The 15,023-nt window shown below is 46.3% G+C and overlaps 1 protein-coding gene across 1 annotated transcript in view, besides 1 other annotated feature; it reads right to left on the reverse strand.

The window, feature by feature from the left end:
- Positions 1-13,874, reverse strand: part of UTS2 (urotensin 2) — a 65,638-nt gene extending 51,764 nt beyond the window's left edge. Inside the window, exon 1 of the mRNA XM_011540537.3 lies at positions 13,806-13,874. The gene's annotated coding sequence lies outside the window, so the exon portion shown is untranslated. The remainder of the gene's footprint in view (positions 1-13,805) is intronic.
- Positions 11,514-12,015: an enhancer, noted in NCBI's record as "NANOG hESC enhancer chr1:7970949-7971450 (GRCh37/hg19 assembly coordinates)". NCBI's record gives its function as "activates a minimal SCP1, AML or CMV promoter by ChIP-STARR-seq in naive H9 embryonic stem cells {active_cell/tissue: H9 hESC(naive)}" and the evidence as "EXISTENCE:reporter gene assay evidence [ECO:0000049][PMID:30033119]".

Consider the following 15,023-nt stretch of genomic DNA (forward strand, 5'->3'; position numbering starts at 1 on the left):
TTTCAACATTTTCTCATTAAGAATAATGTTTACTTTGAGTCGATGCAGTTAGGTGTTTTAAAAAAATAAAATAATAATGTTTACTAATTTTTTTCTTTAGATATCCCTTATCAGTTAAGGAAGTTCTTATCTAGTCCTTTTTATTTTTTGAGACAAGGTCTCACTCTGATGCCCAGGCTGGAGTGCAGTGGCGTGATCATGACTCACTGCAGCCTCAACCTTCCCAGGCTCAGGTGATCCTCACACCTCAGCCTCCTGAGTAGCTGGGACTACAGGCACGAACCACTGCACCTGTCTTTATGATCTTTTTTAAACACTGTTAGATTTTGTTTGTGAACTATATTAACGTAAGAAGTTATCCCACAATTTAGTGTCTTGAAACAGCAAGCATTTGTTATAACATGTTTTCTCAGGAGTCCAGGAGTGGCTGAGCTATGTAGTTCTGGCTCAGGGTCTCTCAGGAAGTTGTGGTCAATGTGTTGGTCAGAGCTGAAGTCATCTGGAAGCTTCACGAGGGAAAGACCTGCTTCCAGGCTCACTGTGTGACTGTCAACATGTAGGCCTCTCAGATACAGCAATTGGCTTCCTCCAGAGACAGCAATCGCAGAGAGAGCGAGAGTGTACCCAACCCGGAAGCCACAGACTTTTTATAACCTGGAATCATCAGATGCAAGTCACTCCATGCTCAAGTGGAGGAAAGCTTAGCTCCACTTCCTGAATGTAGAAATATCAAATGAATGGCCAGGCACAATGGCTCACACCTGTAATTCCAGCACTTTGGGAGGCCAAGGCAGGAGAGGATCACTTGAGCTCAGGAGTTCAAGACCAGCCTGGGCAACATAGTGAAACCTCTTCTCTATAAATAATTTAAAAATTAGCCAGGCACAGTGGTGCATGCCTGTATTGCCAGCTACTCAGGAGGCTGAGGTGAGAGGATCACCCGAGCCTGGGAGGTGGAAGCTGCAGTGAGCCTTGATTGTACCACCACACTTGGCCTGGCGACAGAGCCAGAACTTGTCTCCAAAAAAAGAAAGAAGGAAAGAAGGAAGGAAGGAAGGAAGCGAGCAAGGTAGGTTAAATAATGTGTGGGCATGAAACACCACATTAATATTTTGTTTTGGCCAGGTGTGGTGGCTCACGCCTGTAATCTCAATACTTTGGGAGGCCAAGCCAGGTGGATTACCTGAGGTCAGGAGTTCGAGACTGGCCTGGCCAACATGGCAAAAACCCCATCTCTACTAAAAATACAAAAATTAGCCAGGCACAGTGGTGGCTGGCGCCTGTAATCCCAGCTACTCAGGAGGCTGAGGCAGAAGAATTGCTTGAACCAGGGAAGTGGAGGTTGCAATGAGCTCAGATCATGCTACTGCACTCCAACCTGGGCTACAGAGTGAGATTCCATCTCCAAAAAAAAAAAATTGTTTCATGTTTTTGCCTCTTTTTCTTTTACTGTCCTTGCCTGGTTTTAGTATCAAGGTTACACTGGCCTCACAGAATACCTAGGAGAAGATAAACCACTTTCTTCTATTCTCTGGAAGAGTTTTTATAAAATAGGAATGATCCACTCCATGAAAGTTTAAGAGAACTTACCTGGAAAGTCATCCAGGTCTAAGTTTAATTTGACAAAGATTTTTACTTCTGTTTCAATTTCCCTAATCATTTTATGACTATCCATACATTTTCTTTCTTCTTAAGTCAGTTTTGGTAAGTTACGTTTTTTCTAGGGAATTGGTCATTTTGTCTGAGTTTTCAAATGTATTGGCAAAAACCCGTTCATAGTAGTCTGTTATCGCATGGTAAGCTTTCATTCTACATAGATTAAGTAATGGAGCTTGGATGTGAAGCAGGCTATTGGAAGACTACTGCAGTAATCCAGGCCAGAAATAACACAGGCATGAATTAGGACAGTGAGAGTAGGATGTGAAGAATGGATTGGATTCTAGAAATACACACTGGGATTTGTTGTTTCATTAAATGTGGGTGGTGAAAGAGAGGAAAGAGTCAAAAGGTACTAATCTGATGTCTGCCTTGGAGAGGAGGTGGAAGGAGCTGCTTTATGGAGGAAAATGTTAGCATTTACTGTAAAGGTTTCCATTCATTGAGGTGTTCTATGGATCAGGCACTGTGCTACTTGCTTTATATGTATACATGTATATGCTATATACATATGTATGTATGTAAATATATACATACAGCTGCTATATACTTGGATGTGTATATATATTCATCTATGTGTGTGTGTGTGTGTGTGTGTGTATATATATATTTATATTCTCATTTAATCCTCACAAAAAGCCTGTAAGGTAGGTGCTATTGTCTTCATTTTACAAATGAGGAAACGGACTTCGTGTGAGGAAATGGACTTCGTGGAGGAGATGGTTCAATCCAGTGCCACCAAAACAAAAACCCTCGGCCAGTTTGGAACATCCTGGGTTTGAGATGCCTGTGAGGATCCACACAGACTGGCCCAGCAGATCACGGAACGTGTGAGGTCTGTAGGGAAAAGCATTTGAGAAAGAAGGAACAGCAAACTCCAATGTCCTAAGCCAGAGAAAAGTTTAGTGGATTCAAGGAGCAGAAGGAAATCCAGCGACCCTAGAGGGAGTGGGTGCGAGGGAGAGGGTGATGGATGAGGTGGGAGAGAATGACCGGGGTGGCTGAGAGCAGGGCTGGACTCAGCGCTGGTAACACCAGGCTGGGAGGGAAGCTTTGGGGCTCTGTGGCTCTGGGTAGGGAGGACTGCGGAGGGTGGCAATTCCCCACCAGCTCCTACAACAGGGTCTGGGATCAGACACAGCCTTTGGGCTCCAGGCTATCTCTGCCCCCGGGTGAGGGTTATACAGACCTGACTCCTTCAGGGAGAGTTTTGTCCTGATGGGACCACCCTGCTTTTTTGTATGGAAGTTAGAAATTATCTTCTCTCTGGGCTCTGGGCAGATTGCCTGTCTCCTCAACAGGGAAGGGGTGATTCTCTGGGGGAAAGCGGGAAGTCGGGGAAGTTCTGACAATGTAGTCATTTTGGTAAAGACTCTGAAAATCATTCCCATTCACATCACAGGGGCCTAAAGATGGCCTGGGTCGTCAGTGCGGCTTTTTCTATACTTCCACTCCCCATACATTTTCTTTCTTTTGGCGACTTGCACATCATTGTTGGACTATTAAGTTATGGGGGAAGGGCGTCCCTACTAAGGAGCCTCCTAATTCTTTTTGTTGTTGTTAATCTAATTTTTTATAGGGACGGGGGTCTCGCTATGTTGGCCAGGCTGGTCTTGAACTCCTGACCTCACGTGATCTTCCCACCTCGGCCTCCCAAAGTGCTGAAGAAGTGAGCCAGCTTCCCCGGCCAGCGCCTCCTATTTCCTTCCCTTTAATTAGGCGGCACGTTAGCCTTTAACAGAGGCGGGCCACTGGCGGCGTGGTTTCAGGTAAGTCGCTGAACCTCTTTAGCCATCTCCTTCCCATCCCTGAAGAAGAGGCCTAAATTAGAGAATGCGGGGTTCCTTCCGCGCTCAGAGCCTTCCCTTTGATCCCGAGGGAGGCCTGCGCGCTGGTGGTGTCTACTGCCCTCTTGTGGTAGAGCGTTTTTTGTTCTCCAGTTTACTGTCTGGCTTTTCTCCCTCCCTCCCTCCTTCCCTCTTCCCCTCCTTCCCCTCCTCCCCTCCTTCCCCTCCTTCTCCTGCTTCCCCTCCTTCCCCTCCTTCTCCTGCTTCCCCTCCTTCCCCTCCTTCTCCTGCTTCCCCTCCTTCCCCTCCTTCTCCTGCTTCCCCTCCTTCTCCTGCTTCCCCTCCTTCCCCTCCTTCTCCTGCTTCCCCTCCTTCTCCTGCTTCCCCTCCTTCCCCTCCTTCTCCTGCTTCCCCTCCTTCCCCTCCTTCTCCTGCTTCCCCTCCTTCTCCTGCTTCCCCTCCTTCCCCTCCTTCTCCTGCTTCCCCTCCTTCCCCTCCTTCTCCTGCTTCCCCTCCTTCTCCTGCTTCCCCTCCTTCCCCTCCTTCCTTTTTTTAATTATTAATTAATTAATTAATTTATTTATTTATGAGACAATCTCGCTCTGTCGCCTAGGCTGCAGTGCAATGGCGCAATCTCAGCTCACTGCAACCTCCCTTTCCCGGGTTCAAGCCATTTTCTTGCCCCAACCTCCGGAGTAGTAGCTGGGATTACAAGTTCCCGCCACCATCCCTGGCTAATTTTTGTATTTTTGGTAGAAACAGGGTTTCACCATGTCGGCCAGGCTGGTCTCGAACTCCTGGACTCAAGCGATCCTCCCACGTCGGCCTCTCAAAGTGCTGGGATTACAGGCATGAGCACCACGTCCGGCCTATTGTCTAATTTTTAAATTCCTAAGGAAATCCAAAAGATTGGGGGTTGCAGGAGTAGAAGCTTGCACAGGAGTGTCACATAGCTACATTTAAGTGTCAGGCTTAGCAATAGCAAGAGAAGGGAGGGAGGGAAGAAATGAAGAGCCACAGCCCCTTCAGAATGTGAGAGCTTTCATCTTTCCCATGAAAATAAACTGATACTTTGTTTTTACTTAACCAGTACTTCAAATTTGGATTTCAAAAACGAACTTCATGTGTTTTATTACCCGTCTGATGTACCTTCCACACAAGGGTTAGGCGAAAGAAGTTTGTTGCCCATAACTGCTAAAGTTAGAATTTTAGGGTTTTGTGATTTTAGAAATTTAGATCTTAGAATAATTTTTTAAAAATAAATTTATCTTACAATATTTTTTCATTGATTTAATTATAACCTAATTTTGGGGGAGTTCTAATATAAATTTTTATCTTATACCTGGCTTTTAAGGAATGTGTCTAATGAAAAGTAAAGATGGCCGAGCACATTATTGGCACTTTGGGAGGCCCAAGGCGGAAGGATAGCTTGAGCCCAAGAGTTTGAGTCCAGCCTGGGCAACACAATGGGACCAGGTCTCTACAAAAAATAAAAAAAAAAAAAAATAATAAGCTGGGCATGGTGGCGCATGCCTGTAGTCTCAGCTATTTGGGAGGCTGAGGTGGGAGAATCTCTTGAGCCTGGGAGGTTGAGGCTGCAATAAGCTATGATTGTGCCACTGCACTCCAACTTGGGTGACAGAGCAAGACTCCATCTCGTAAAAAAAAAAACAACAAAAAAAGTAAAGACGTGTAGTCAATTTGTTTTTACTTTGATTTTAGAATATATTCTGATTATTGCTGTTTATTACTTAAATAGTTACGTGTTATGCAATATTTATGTGTTATTAAGACATGGAAAAGGGGCTGGGAGCAGTGGCTCACGCCTATAATCCCAGCACTTTGGGAGGATGAGGCAGGCAGATCACCTGAGGTCATGAGTTCAAGACCAGCCTGGCCAACATGGTGAAACCCTGTCTCTACTAAAAATATAAAAATTAGCCGGGCGTGGTGGTGGCGCCTGTAAACCCAGCTAATTGGAAGACTGAGGCAGGAGAATCGCTTGAACCCGGGAGGCAGAGGTTAGAGTAAGCCTAGATCGTGCCACTGGACTCCAGCTTGGGTGACAGAGTGAGACTCTGTCTCAAAAAAAAAAAAAAAAAAAAAAGCCCACATAGAAAGGGGACTTAAAGGATAATTTAGTGAATACATGCATATCCACTGCCCAGCTTAGAAAATAAACATTGCCAACACAGCTAAATACCTCTGCGATGGTTAATTTCACCTGTCACCTTGGCTAGGCTATAGTACACAGTTTTTGGTCAAACATCAATCCAGATGTTGCTGTGAGGGTATCTTTTTTTTATGTGTGATTAACATTTCTTTTTTCTTTTTTTTTTTTTTGAGACAGAGTTCGCTCTTGTTGCCCAGGCTGGAGTGTAATGGCGCGATCTTGGCTCACTGTACCCTCCACCTCCCAGGTTCAAGCAATTCTCCTGCCTCAGCCTCCTGCGAGTAGCTGGGATTACAGGCATATGTCACCACGCCCGTCTAATTTTGTATTTTTAGTAGACACGGGGTTTCTCCATGTTGGTCAGGCTGGTCTTGAACTCCCGACCTCAGGTGATGCCCCTGCCTCGGCCTCCCAAAGTGCTGGGATTATAGGCGTGACGCCGTGCCAGGCCGTAATTAACATGTATTAGGTTGGTGCAAAAGTAATTGCGGTTTTTGCCATTAAAACTGTGGCAAAAACTGCAATTACTTTTGCACCGGCCTAATAAATCAGTAAACTTTGAATAAAGCAGATGGCCCTCCACAGTGCAGGTAGGCCTCTTCCAATATGTTGAAGGCCTCAAGAGAAAAAGACTGCAGTGTTCCAAGGAAGAGGGGAATTCTGCTTCTAGATGGCCTCCAGGCTTAATACTGCAACATCAGCTCTTCCCTGGATGAAATGAACATCTTTCTTCAGTATTTAAGGACAAGTTGTATTTCTTCCTTGGTGAATTGTTTCTTATTTTCTGGTGGTTTCAAGGTCAGCAGGAATGTAGGGTTTGTTGAGGTTGGGCTGACGGTTTCCTAGGGAAAGGTGGGTGATTGGTTTTACATTTAGCTCTCTTCTTGGACATTTCGTAGTGATGAAGTGGGGCAGTGTCTTGCCGGGTGAGGGGTGTCTGGGGGGCTTGTCTTGCTGGGCACACGGGGGCCTGAAGGGCTCCTTCACAGCCAGTGGGTGGGTGGGGGTCGGGAACACACGGAATTCTTTCCAGGTGAGCATCTTGTTTTGAGGAACCAACTGCTGCTGTAATATAATGTTGCCTTTCAGTCTTGAGGCTTTCACTTGGCCAGCAAGTACTTCTTTCAACACCCATAGAATTGCATGAGGTGCATGGGGTTCTTAATAGGGGCAGCTCCTGTTTTCATAAAATTTGTGAAGAAGCATTTCATGATAAGTGGAGTAAATTATACTAAATATTGAAATGGGAATCAATTTTTCTAAACATTCCTTTCCATGTTCCTGCAAAGATGCTGGTTTCACTTGCATTTGAATCAAGGCACACACCTTTCCTTCGTCCATACAGCCAGAGCCTCTGCCACAGGAACTGGTGAACGTCTTAACTGTTTATCTCACTTTATAGCACAGCAAGAAAGAAAGAAAGAAAAGAAAGAAAGGAAGAAAGAAAGAAAGAAAAAGAGAAAGAAAGAAAGAAAGAAAGAAAGAAAGAAAGAAAGAAAGAAAGAAAGAAAGAAAGAAAAGAGGGAGGGAGGGAGGGGAAACTTCTAAGATCATTCCAGATTTTTTTTCTTGACTTTACTCCCTACTACCCCCTTGAAATTCATACTTGCACACAGAAACTCTTCAAACTTCCTGTCTTGAGTACAGGCTGGACAGAAAACTATAGAGAGATATCAGCACCATGAATGCCAATATCAACACCAGTACTAACCCAACACCAACAGTGAGAACACCAATATGGATGCCGGTACCAACCCAACAGCAACACCACGAACACGGGCAGTAGGAGGAAGGTCCAGGATGCGAATTCAAAATATTGAACACCAGTTAACTTAGCCAAAGAGTCTCTAGTGAAGCTGTGATCAAGGAGAGTATGTGCCTGGTATCTATAAACATCCCATCATTGCAATCAGAGAGACACATACGATCATTATTAGCCTTTGCCACTGAAGCTAAAATAATTATTGAAAGAGTATGGGCTGCACGCAGTGGCTCACGCCTGTAATCCCAGCACTTTGGGAGACCAAGGGGGGAGGATCACCTGAGGTTGGGAGTTTGAGGTTGGGAGCCTGGGCAACATAGTAAGACCCCATCTCTACCAAAAATACAAAAAAATTAGCCAGGTGTGGTGGTGCGCGCTTGTAATCCCCGCTACTTCAGAGGCTGAGGCGAGAGAATTGCTTGAACCTGGGAGGTGGAGACTGCAATGAGCTGAGATCGTGTCACTGCACTCCAGCCTGGGTGACGAGAGACTGTCTCAAAACAAAAACAAAAAATTGTGAGTGGTTGATCTTATAAACTAGTAGATTTAAAAAGTGAAAGAGTGTGAGTGGAAGCAGTCTGACTGTCCTTAGGTGTCAAGAAATCAGGTTATGCCAGGTACAATGACTCAGGCCTGCAATCCCAGCACTTTGGGAGGCTGAGGCGGGAGGATTTCTGAACACAAGGAGTTTGAGAGCAGCAGGGCATCATAGCAAGACTTCATCTTTACAAAAAAATTTAAACATTTTTTTAAATTTAAAAAAATTTAAAAATTAGAAGTCGTAGCTACTCAGGAGGCTGAAGTAGGAACCCAGGAGTTCAAGGCTGCAGTGAGCTATGATCACACCACTGCACTCCAGCCTAAGCAACAGAGCCAGACCATGTCTCTAAAAAAAAAAAAAAAATTAGCGACCACAACAAAATGTAAATAACTAACTGACAGTGAGCTTCTGAGCATTATGTCAGAGATTTTTTGTTTTTTAGACTCCCTTAGGCCCCTATTTCAACAACTCCAAACTCAGAGTAGGAGGAAAAGAAATACACAATTATCATTCCTTCCGGAATACTAAGTTTTCGAAGCCTCAACTTCACAGGTAGTTGTTTACCTTTTAAGATTATGGCTAGTAGGCTGGGCACGGTGGCTAGCACCTGTAATCCCAGCACTCTGGGAGGCCGAGGCAAGCAAGCAGATCACCTGAGGTCAGGAGTTCAAGACCAGCCTGACCAACATGGTGAAACTCTGTCTCTACTAAAAATACAAAAATTAAGCCAGGAATGGTGCTCATGCTGTAATCCCAGCATTTTGAAAGGCTGAGGCAGTGGATCACCTGAGGTCAGGAGTTCGAGACCAGCCTGGCCAACATGACGAATCCCCATCTCTACTAAAAATAGAAAAATTAGTCAGGCATGGTGGTATGCACCTGTAATCCCAGCTACTCCGGAGCCTGGGGCAGTAGAATCACTTGAACCTGGAGTCAGAGATTGCAGTGAGCCAAGATCACACCACTGCACTCAGCCTGGGTGACAGAGTGAGACTCCGTCTAAAAAAAAAAAAAAAAAAAAGTTAGCCAGGTGTGGTGGTTTACACCTGAAATCCCAGCTACTTGGGAGGCTGAGGCAGGAGAATTGCCTGAACCTGGGAGGTGGAGGTTGCAGTGAGCTGAGATTGCATCGCTCCGGCCTGGGCGACAGAGTGAGACTCTGTCTCAAAAAAAAAAAAAAAAAAAAGGGATCATGACTAGTAAACTAAGACCACCCCTAGAAGCCAGTAGAACCCAGTACTGGTCAGATCAGACACCAGCTACACAAGCTTGAGAGGCCACTTCTCCCCCTGGGCCTTGACTTCTATTTCCCCTCTGATTTAGAAATTTTGTGGCTCTGCGTCATTGATTGGTATGTAAATTGGCATATATATTACTCTGTTCTCATGCAGCTAATAAAGACATAATTGAGACTGTAATTTATAAGGAAAAAGAGGTTTAATGGACTCACAGTTCCACATGACTGGGGAGGCCTCACAATCATGACAGAAGGCAAAGGAGGAGCAAAGGCACAATTTTTTTTTTTTTTTTGAGACGGAGTTTTGCTCTGTTGCCCAGGCTGGAGTGCAGTGGCATGATCTTGGCTCACTGCAACCTCCACCTCCCAGGTTCAAACCATTCTTCTGCCTCAGCCTCCCGAGTAGCTGGGACTACAGGTGCGTGCCACCACACCCAGCTAATTTTTGTATTTTTAGTAGAGACTGGGTTTTACCATATTGGCCAGGCTGACCTTGTGATCTACCCATCTCGGCCTCCGAAAGTGCTGGGATTACAGCCGTGAGCCACCATGCCTGGCCTCAAAGGCTTATCTTACATTGCGGAAAGACCTGCCTCCATAATTCAATTACCTCCCACCAGGTCCCTCCCAGGACACACGGGGATTATGGGAGCTACAGTTCAAGATGAGATTTGGGTGGGGACACAGCCAAAGCGTATCAGCGTAGCTTTTTGAAAGTTAATTAAAAAATATTTTTTAGTACTGGGCTTACGCCTGTAATCCCAGCACTTTGGCAGGCCGAGGTGGGCGGATCACCTGAGCTCGGAAGTTCGAGACCAGCCTGGTTAACATGGTGAAACCCCATCTCTGCTAAAAATACAAAAATTAGCCAGGCATGGTAGTGCACCCCTGTAATCCAGCTACTCAGGAGGCTGAGAGAGGAGAATTGCTTGAACCCAGGAGGTGGAGGTCGCAGTGAGCTGAGATCGCACCACTACACTACTCCAGCCTGGATGACAGAGCAAGACTCTGTCTCAAAAAAAAAAAAAAAAGAAAAAAAAATTTAGGTCAAAAGAGGAATTTTATTTTTAAAAAGTTCTTAAACAGCACTATTTTATATTTTTTTTTGAGACGGAGTCTCACTCTGTCACCCAGGCTGGAGTGCAATGGCACAATCTCGGCTCACTGCAACCTCTGCCTCCCAGGTTCAAGCAATTCTTCTGTCTCAGCCTCCCAAGTAGCTGGGACTACAGGCGCCCACCACCACGCCCAGCTAATTTTTGTATTTTTTGGTAGAGACGAGGTTTCAACATGTTGGCCAGGCTGGTCTCAAACTCCTGACCTCAAGTGATCTGCCCGCCTTGACCTCCCAAGATTACAGGCGTGAGCCACCGCGCCCAGCCTTAAACAGCACTCTTGTGCCACAGAAGCACACACAGTACAGTCATTTTCATCTGCAAAGCATATGTATGTGTTAACCTTACACAAGCCATCCAGGAACTTGCCTTTTAAAAGTAACAGCGTGTTGTTTAAGGAGGATTCATTTGTAAAGCTTAATATATGACATTGCTGGAGTTCAAAATGAAGGCCTCAGAAGCAAGTTTTTCTCTAAACTTCTCCTGCCCTCCTGTCTCTGGCCCCTCATTCTCCCCGCAAAGGCTACCATGAAACATGAATCCCCCTTCCCCAAGGTGGGTCACAGAAACCAGAACCCCTTTTTCCCAAAGCCAGCCTTAAAACCTGAGAAGATTACTCTAACTCCCCCTGCCCGCCCACCCTGCCTTTCTTTGTAAAAACCGGCCATAAAGAAATTCTCTGACCTACCTTGTTTGGCTGTAGGTCACCAGGCTCCCATTCCAGAGAGGGTCCTGCCTCACACCCAGAAGGAATGAAGGCTGCACAGAGAGGCCAAGAAGGCCCTACACAGAACCCCCAGGGTCTCCCCACTCAGTCCACTAGCATCAGATCAGAGCCTTTTTGTCCAATCCTATCTCTACATGGCTGTCCATACTCTGTTGAACCTAAGCATAAAAATTGACGTCTGTATCTTTGGGTCTTCATTCTGAAGGCTCCCATGTAACATAAAACTATGATCAAATAAATTTGTATGCCTTTTCTCCTATTAATTTGGCTTTTGTCAGTTGATTTTCAGGAGCTCTTTAGAGAGCAAAGAAGAAATTTTCCACTGGCCCCCAACAGAATATTTTTTGTTTGTTTGTTTTTGGGATTTTTTTCAGACAGGGACTTGCTCTGTCTCCCAGGCTGGAGTGCAGTGGCACAATCATGGTTCACTCAACCTGTTGGCAGCCTCAACCTCCTGGGCTCAAGTGATCCTCCTGCCTCAGCCTCCCAAGTAGCTGGGACTACAGGCGTGAGCCACTACGCCAGGCTAATTTTTTTAAATTATATTCTGTGGTGACATAGGCCTCATTAACCCTCATTAACTTGCCCAGGCTAGTCGTGAATGCCTGGGCTCAAGCGATCCTCCCATCTCGGTGTGAGCCACCGTGACTGCCTCTACAGAATGCCTTACATCAAAGGGAAGCCCAGGCTCATTTCAACTTCCCAGTACTTTTGTAGTGAATAAGGAGGAATTGGGACCCAAGACGGCTATCAGACCGCAAAGGTGCACAGCGGGTGTCCCCCACATTACACAGTTTGCTTCGATTGCCTTCTTGGGACCTCTTAGAACCAGGGTCTATATTTGGAAACAGCACAATTGCAGGATGTGTGATCATAATTGCACTGAATTATAAGCATTTCTTGCATCAGAAATTCTAAATTACTTAATAGAAGTGAGTGTTATTGTACTGAGCATGGCTAAATACGTTACTCATGTTTATTAAATGAGAATCCAAGAAGAGCATTTACTGGGTGCTTGATTTGTGTGAGGCACTGGGCTAAATACCTTATTCATTTATTCTTTGAAACAGCCCCACGTAATTTTACAGATGAAGAAACCAGGGTTTAGAGGATTATGTAAACTGCCTAAGGACCCTCTGCTACGAAAAGGTGGTGGCTGCAATCCAACCTCAAAATTACTGGGTCCAAAGCCCGTGAAGTTAACCCTGACACTAAATGGCCTCAAAATTGTTTAATTAAGTATATCAGGCCAGGCACAGTGGCTCACCCCTGTCATCCCAGCACTTTGGGAGGCCTAGGCAGTGGATCACCTGAGGTCAGGAGTTCGAGACCAGCCTGGCCAACATGGCGAAACCCCGTCTCTACTAAAAATACAAAAATTAGCGGGAGTGGTGGCAGGTGCCTGTAATCCCAGCTACTCGGGAGGCTGAGGCAGGAGAATCGCTTGAACCCAGGAGGCGGAGGTTACAGTGAGCCAAGATCGCGCCACTGCACTCCAGCCTGGGCGACAGAGTGAGACTCTGTCTCAAAAAAAAAAAAAAAAATCAGATGGAAGACTTTTCTGTGGATTCTGGCTTGTTATATACCTTAAATAAACAACAGTAGTGAAAAGAAATCTTTAAGAACTATCATCCAGGGATTTCTTTGGTATGCCAGCATGTGCTGGTCAAATACCATCTTATCTCCCTGATCTGGGTTTGACAGGCTCATCTCTTTCTCACTGTGGTCACACTGTTTTATTTCTGTGAAGAAATATGAACCTGAAAGAGGGAATTCTTCAAGATAGATCCCTAGTGGCTAACTGAGCCTAAATTTAAAATAGAGCCAAATGGCTAAAATAGTTAGCCATTTGCTAACTAGAAGTCACACAGGTACTCTGAGATTCCTGAAAACCAGCACCTTCTTAATGTTGGGACTTTTGGAGCTCACCTGCCTCCACCAACCAGGGCTCAGCTGTATCGACTAATGAGGACTCAGCGGCATAAACCAATCAAAACTAAGCAAGTTTCAGTCTTTCATTTGCATAAACAGACCTGATTGGGAACCTGGGCAGGAACTTTATAACACGCAAATCCCCCTTTTCTTGTTGTTTTTCTTTGAGATGAAATCTCACTCTGTTGCCCATGCTGGAGTGCAGTGTCATGATCTCAGCTCACTACAACCTCCACCTCCCAGGTTCAAGTGATTCTTCTGCCTCAACCTCCTGAGTAGTTGGGACTACAGGTGTGTGTCACCATGCCCGGCTAACTTTTTTATATTTTTAGTAGAGACGGTGTTTCACCATGTTGGCCAGGCTAGTCTCGAACTCCCAACTTCCGGTGATCCCTCTGGCTCTGCCTGTGACCTCATGTGCCCTCCACTGGGGCCCCCACAGAGTCCAGAGCTGTCCCTGGAACAGCTCTCCTCCCTCCCCAAGCTCCATCCCAGGACTTCTCACTCTGCCCTGCCAGGAGCCAGCAGTCCCCTCTGCAGTATTCCTGTCTCCATTCACTTGTAACCACGTACCCCCATTTTTCTAAGAAATCGTTTATTTTTTTTTTCTCTCTCTCTCTCCTTTTCTCATTCCCCTGGTTCCCCACTTCCTACTTTGCCCTTTAAAATGCAAGTATAGCTTTTTCTTTTTTTTTTTTTTTGTTTTTATAGAGGGCAAGTTCCTCTAACTCTGTGCTCCAAGACTCTCCTCAAGAGCTAATAGTCGATTTACAAACCAAAGCATGCATGCCTGCTACGGAACTCCCACCCTCCAGGAGGTTGCCTCGGAACTCCCTCCCACCAAGAGACGTGAGAGATATGGGACTCTGTCCTACCTGGGGAGTTTTCGGCCTAGTCCTGCCCATGAAGGCACCGGCAGTCTCTAGCTCAGCCGCCCAGTAGATAAAGCACTAGATCTAGCCTGCAGACCACGCCCGGCCCTGCTCACTTCCTCCCCTGCCTTTTCAACGTGCCGTCTTTCTGCTCCAAAGGTGAAGCGGGACACTTAAGATAGGACACCTGTATTTCTTCCCCTAAGCTAGCTTTGGGATAAATCACTGTCTTCATACCACACCTCGCTCTTGTTAATCGGAGTCTGCAAGTGAGTGACTAACCCGCGTTTCAGTTACACCCTCCCTGCAGTCAGGGAGCACTTTCTAAAAGGCAAATCCAATCAAATCTCTTCACTGGCTTCCTAGTGACCACATGTTAAAATCAAAGCTGCTTTTTTTTTGTTTTTTTTTTGTTGTTGTTTAAGAGACAGAATCTCACTATGTTGCCCAGGCTGGTTTTGAACTCCAGACCTCAAGGGATCCTGCTACTTTGGCTTCCCAAAATGCTGGGATTACAGGGTGAGCCACTGCTTCTAACTAAAATCCGAGGGTTTTTTTTTTTGTTTGTTTTTCTTTTTTTTTCTGGAGTGCAGTGGCGCGATCTCGGCTCACTACAAGCTCCGCCTCCCGGGTTAACTCCGTTCTCCTGCCTCAGCCTCCCGAATAGCTGGGGCTACAGGCCTCCGCCACGACGCCCGGCTCATTTTTTGTATTTTTTAGTAGAGACGGGGTTTCACCGTCTTAGCCAGGATGGTCTCTATCTCCTGACCTTGTGATCCGCCCGCCTCGGCCTCCCCAAGTGCTGGGATTACAGGTGTGAGCCACTGCACCCGGCCAAAATCTGAGTTTCTTATATAACTTATAAAATCTGGCTCTCTGGTCCCTGCTCACCCTGTGGCTTCCTTCCCCTCTCCTCAATCCCAGCCCCAACTCTCCCTCCCATGTGCCTGGGCCCATGGCTCCTTCTGAGAAGCACACTGCCTGGACAGGCATCGCTTCCTCTGCATCCCGCTTTCCCTCCCTTCCCTCTCCCCCCTCCCCCCTCCCTCCCCCGCCCCCTTCCCTCCCCCTTCCCCCTCCCCGTCCCCCAACTCCATCCCTCCCTCCCCTGCCTCCCAGCGGAGCTCCCTGGTGCACAGCTGCCCCTTCCCCACATCCCCCCCACCCGCCACCGTGAGCACCAGGAGGGCAGCTGCTCTCACTCCCCTTTTGCCGTCCATC

Source organism: Homo sapiens, chromosome 1 (genome assembly GCF_000001405.40).
Source record: "Homo sapiens chromosome 1, GRCh38.p14 Primary Assembly".
NCBI classification, from domain to species: domain Eukaryota; kingdom Metazoa; phylum Chordata; class Mammalia; order Primates; family Hominidae; genus Homo; species Homo sapiens.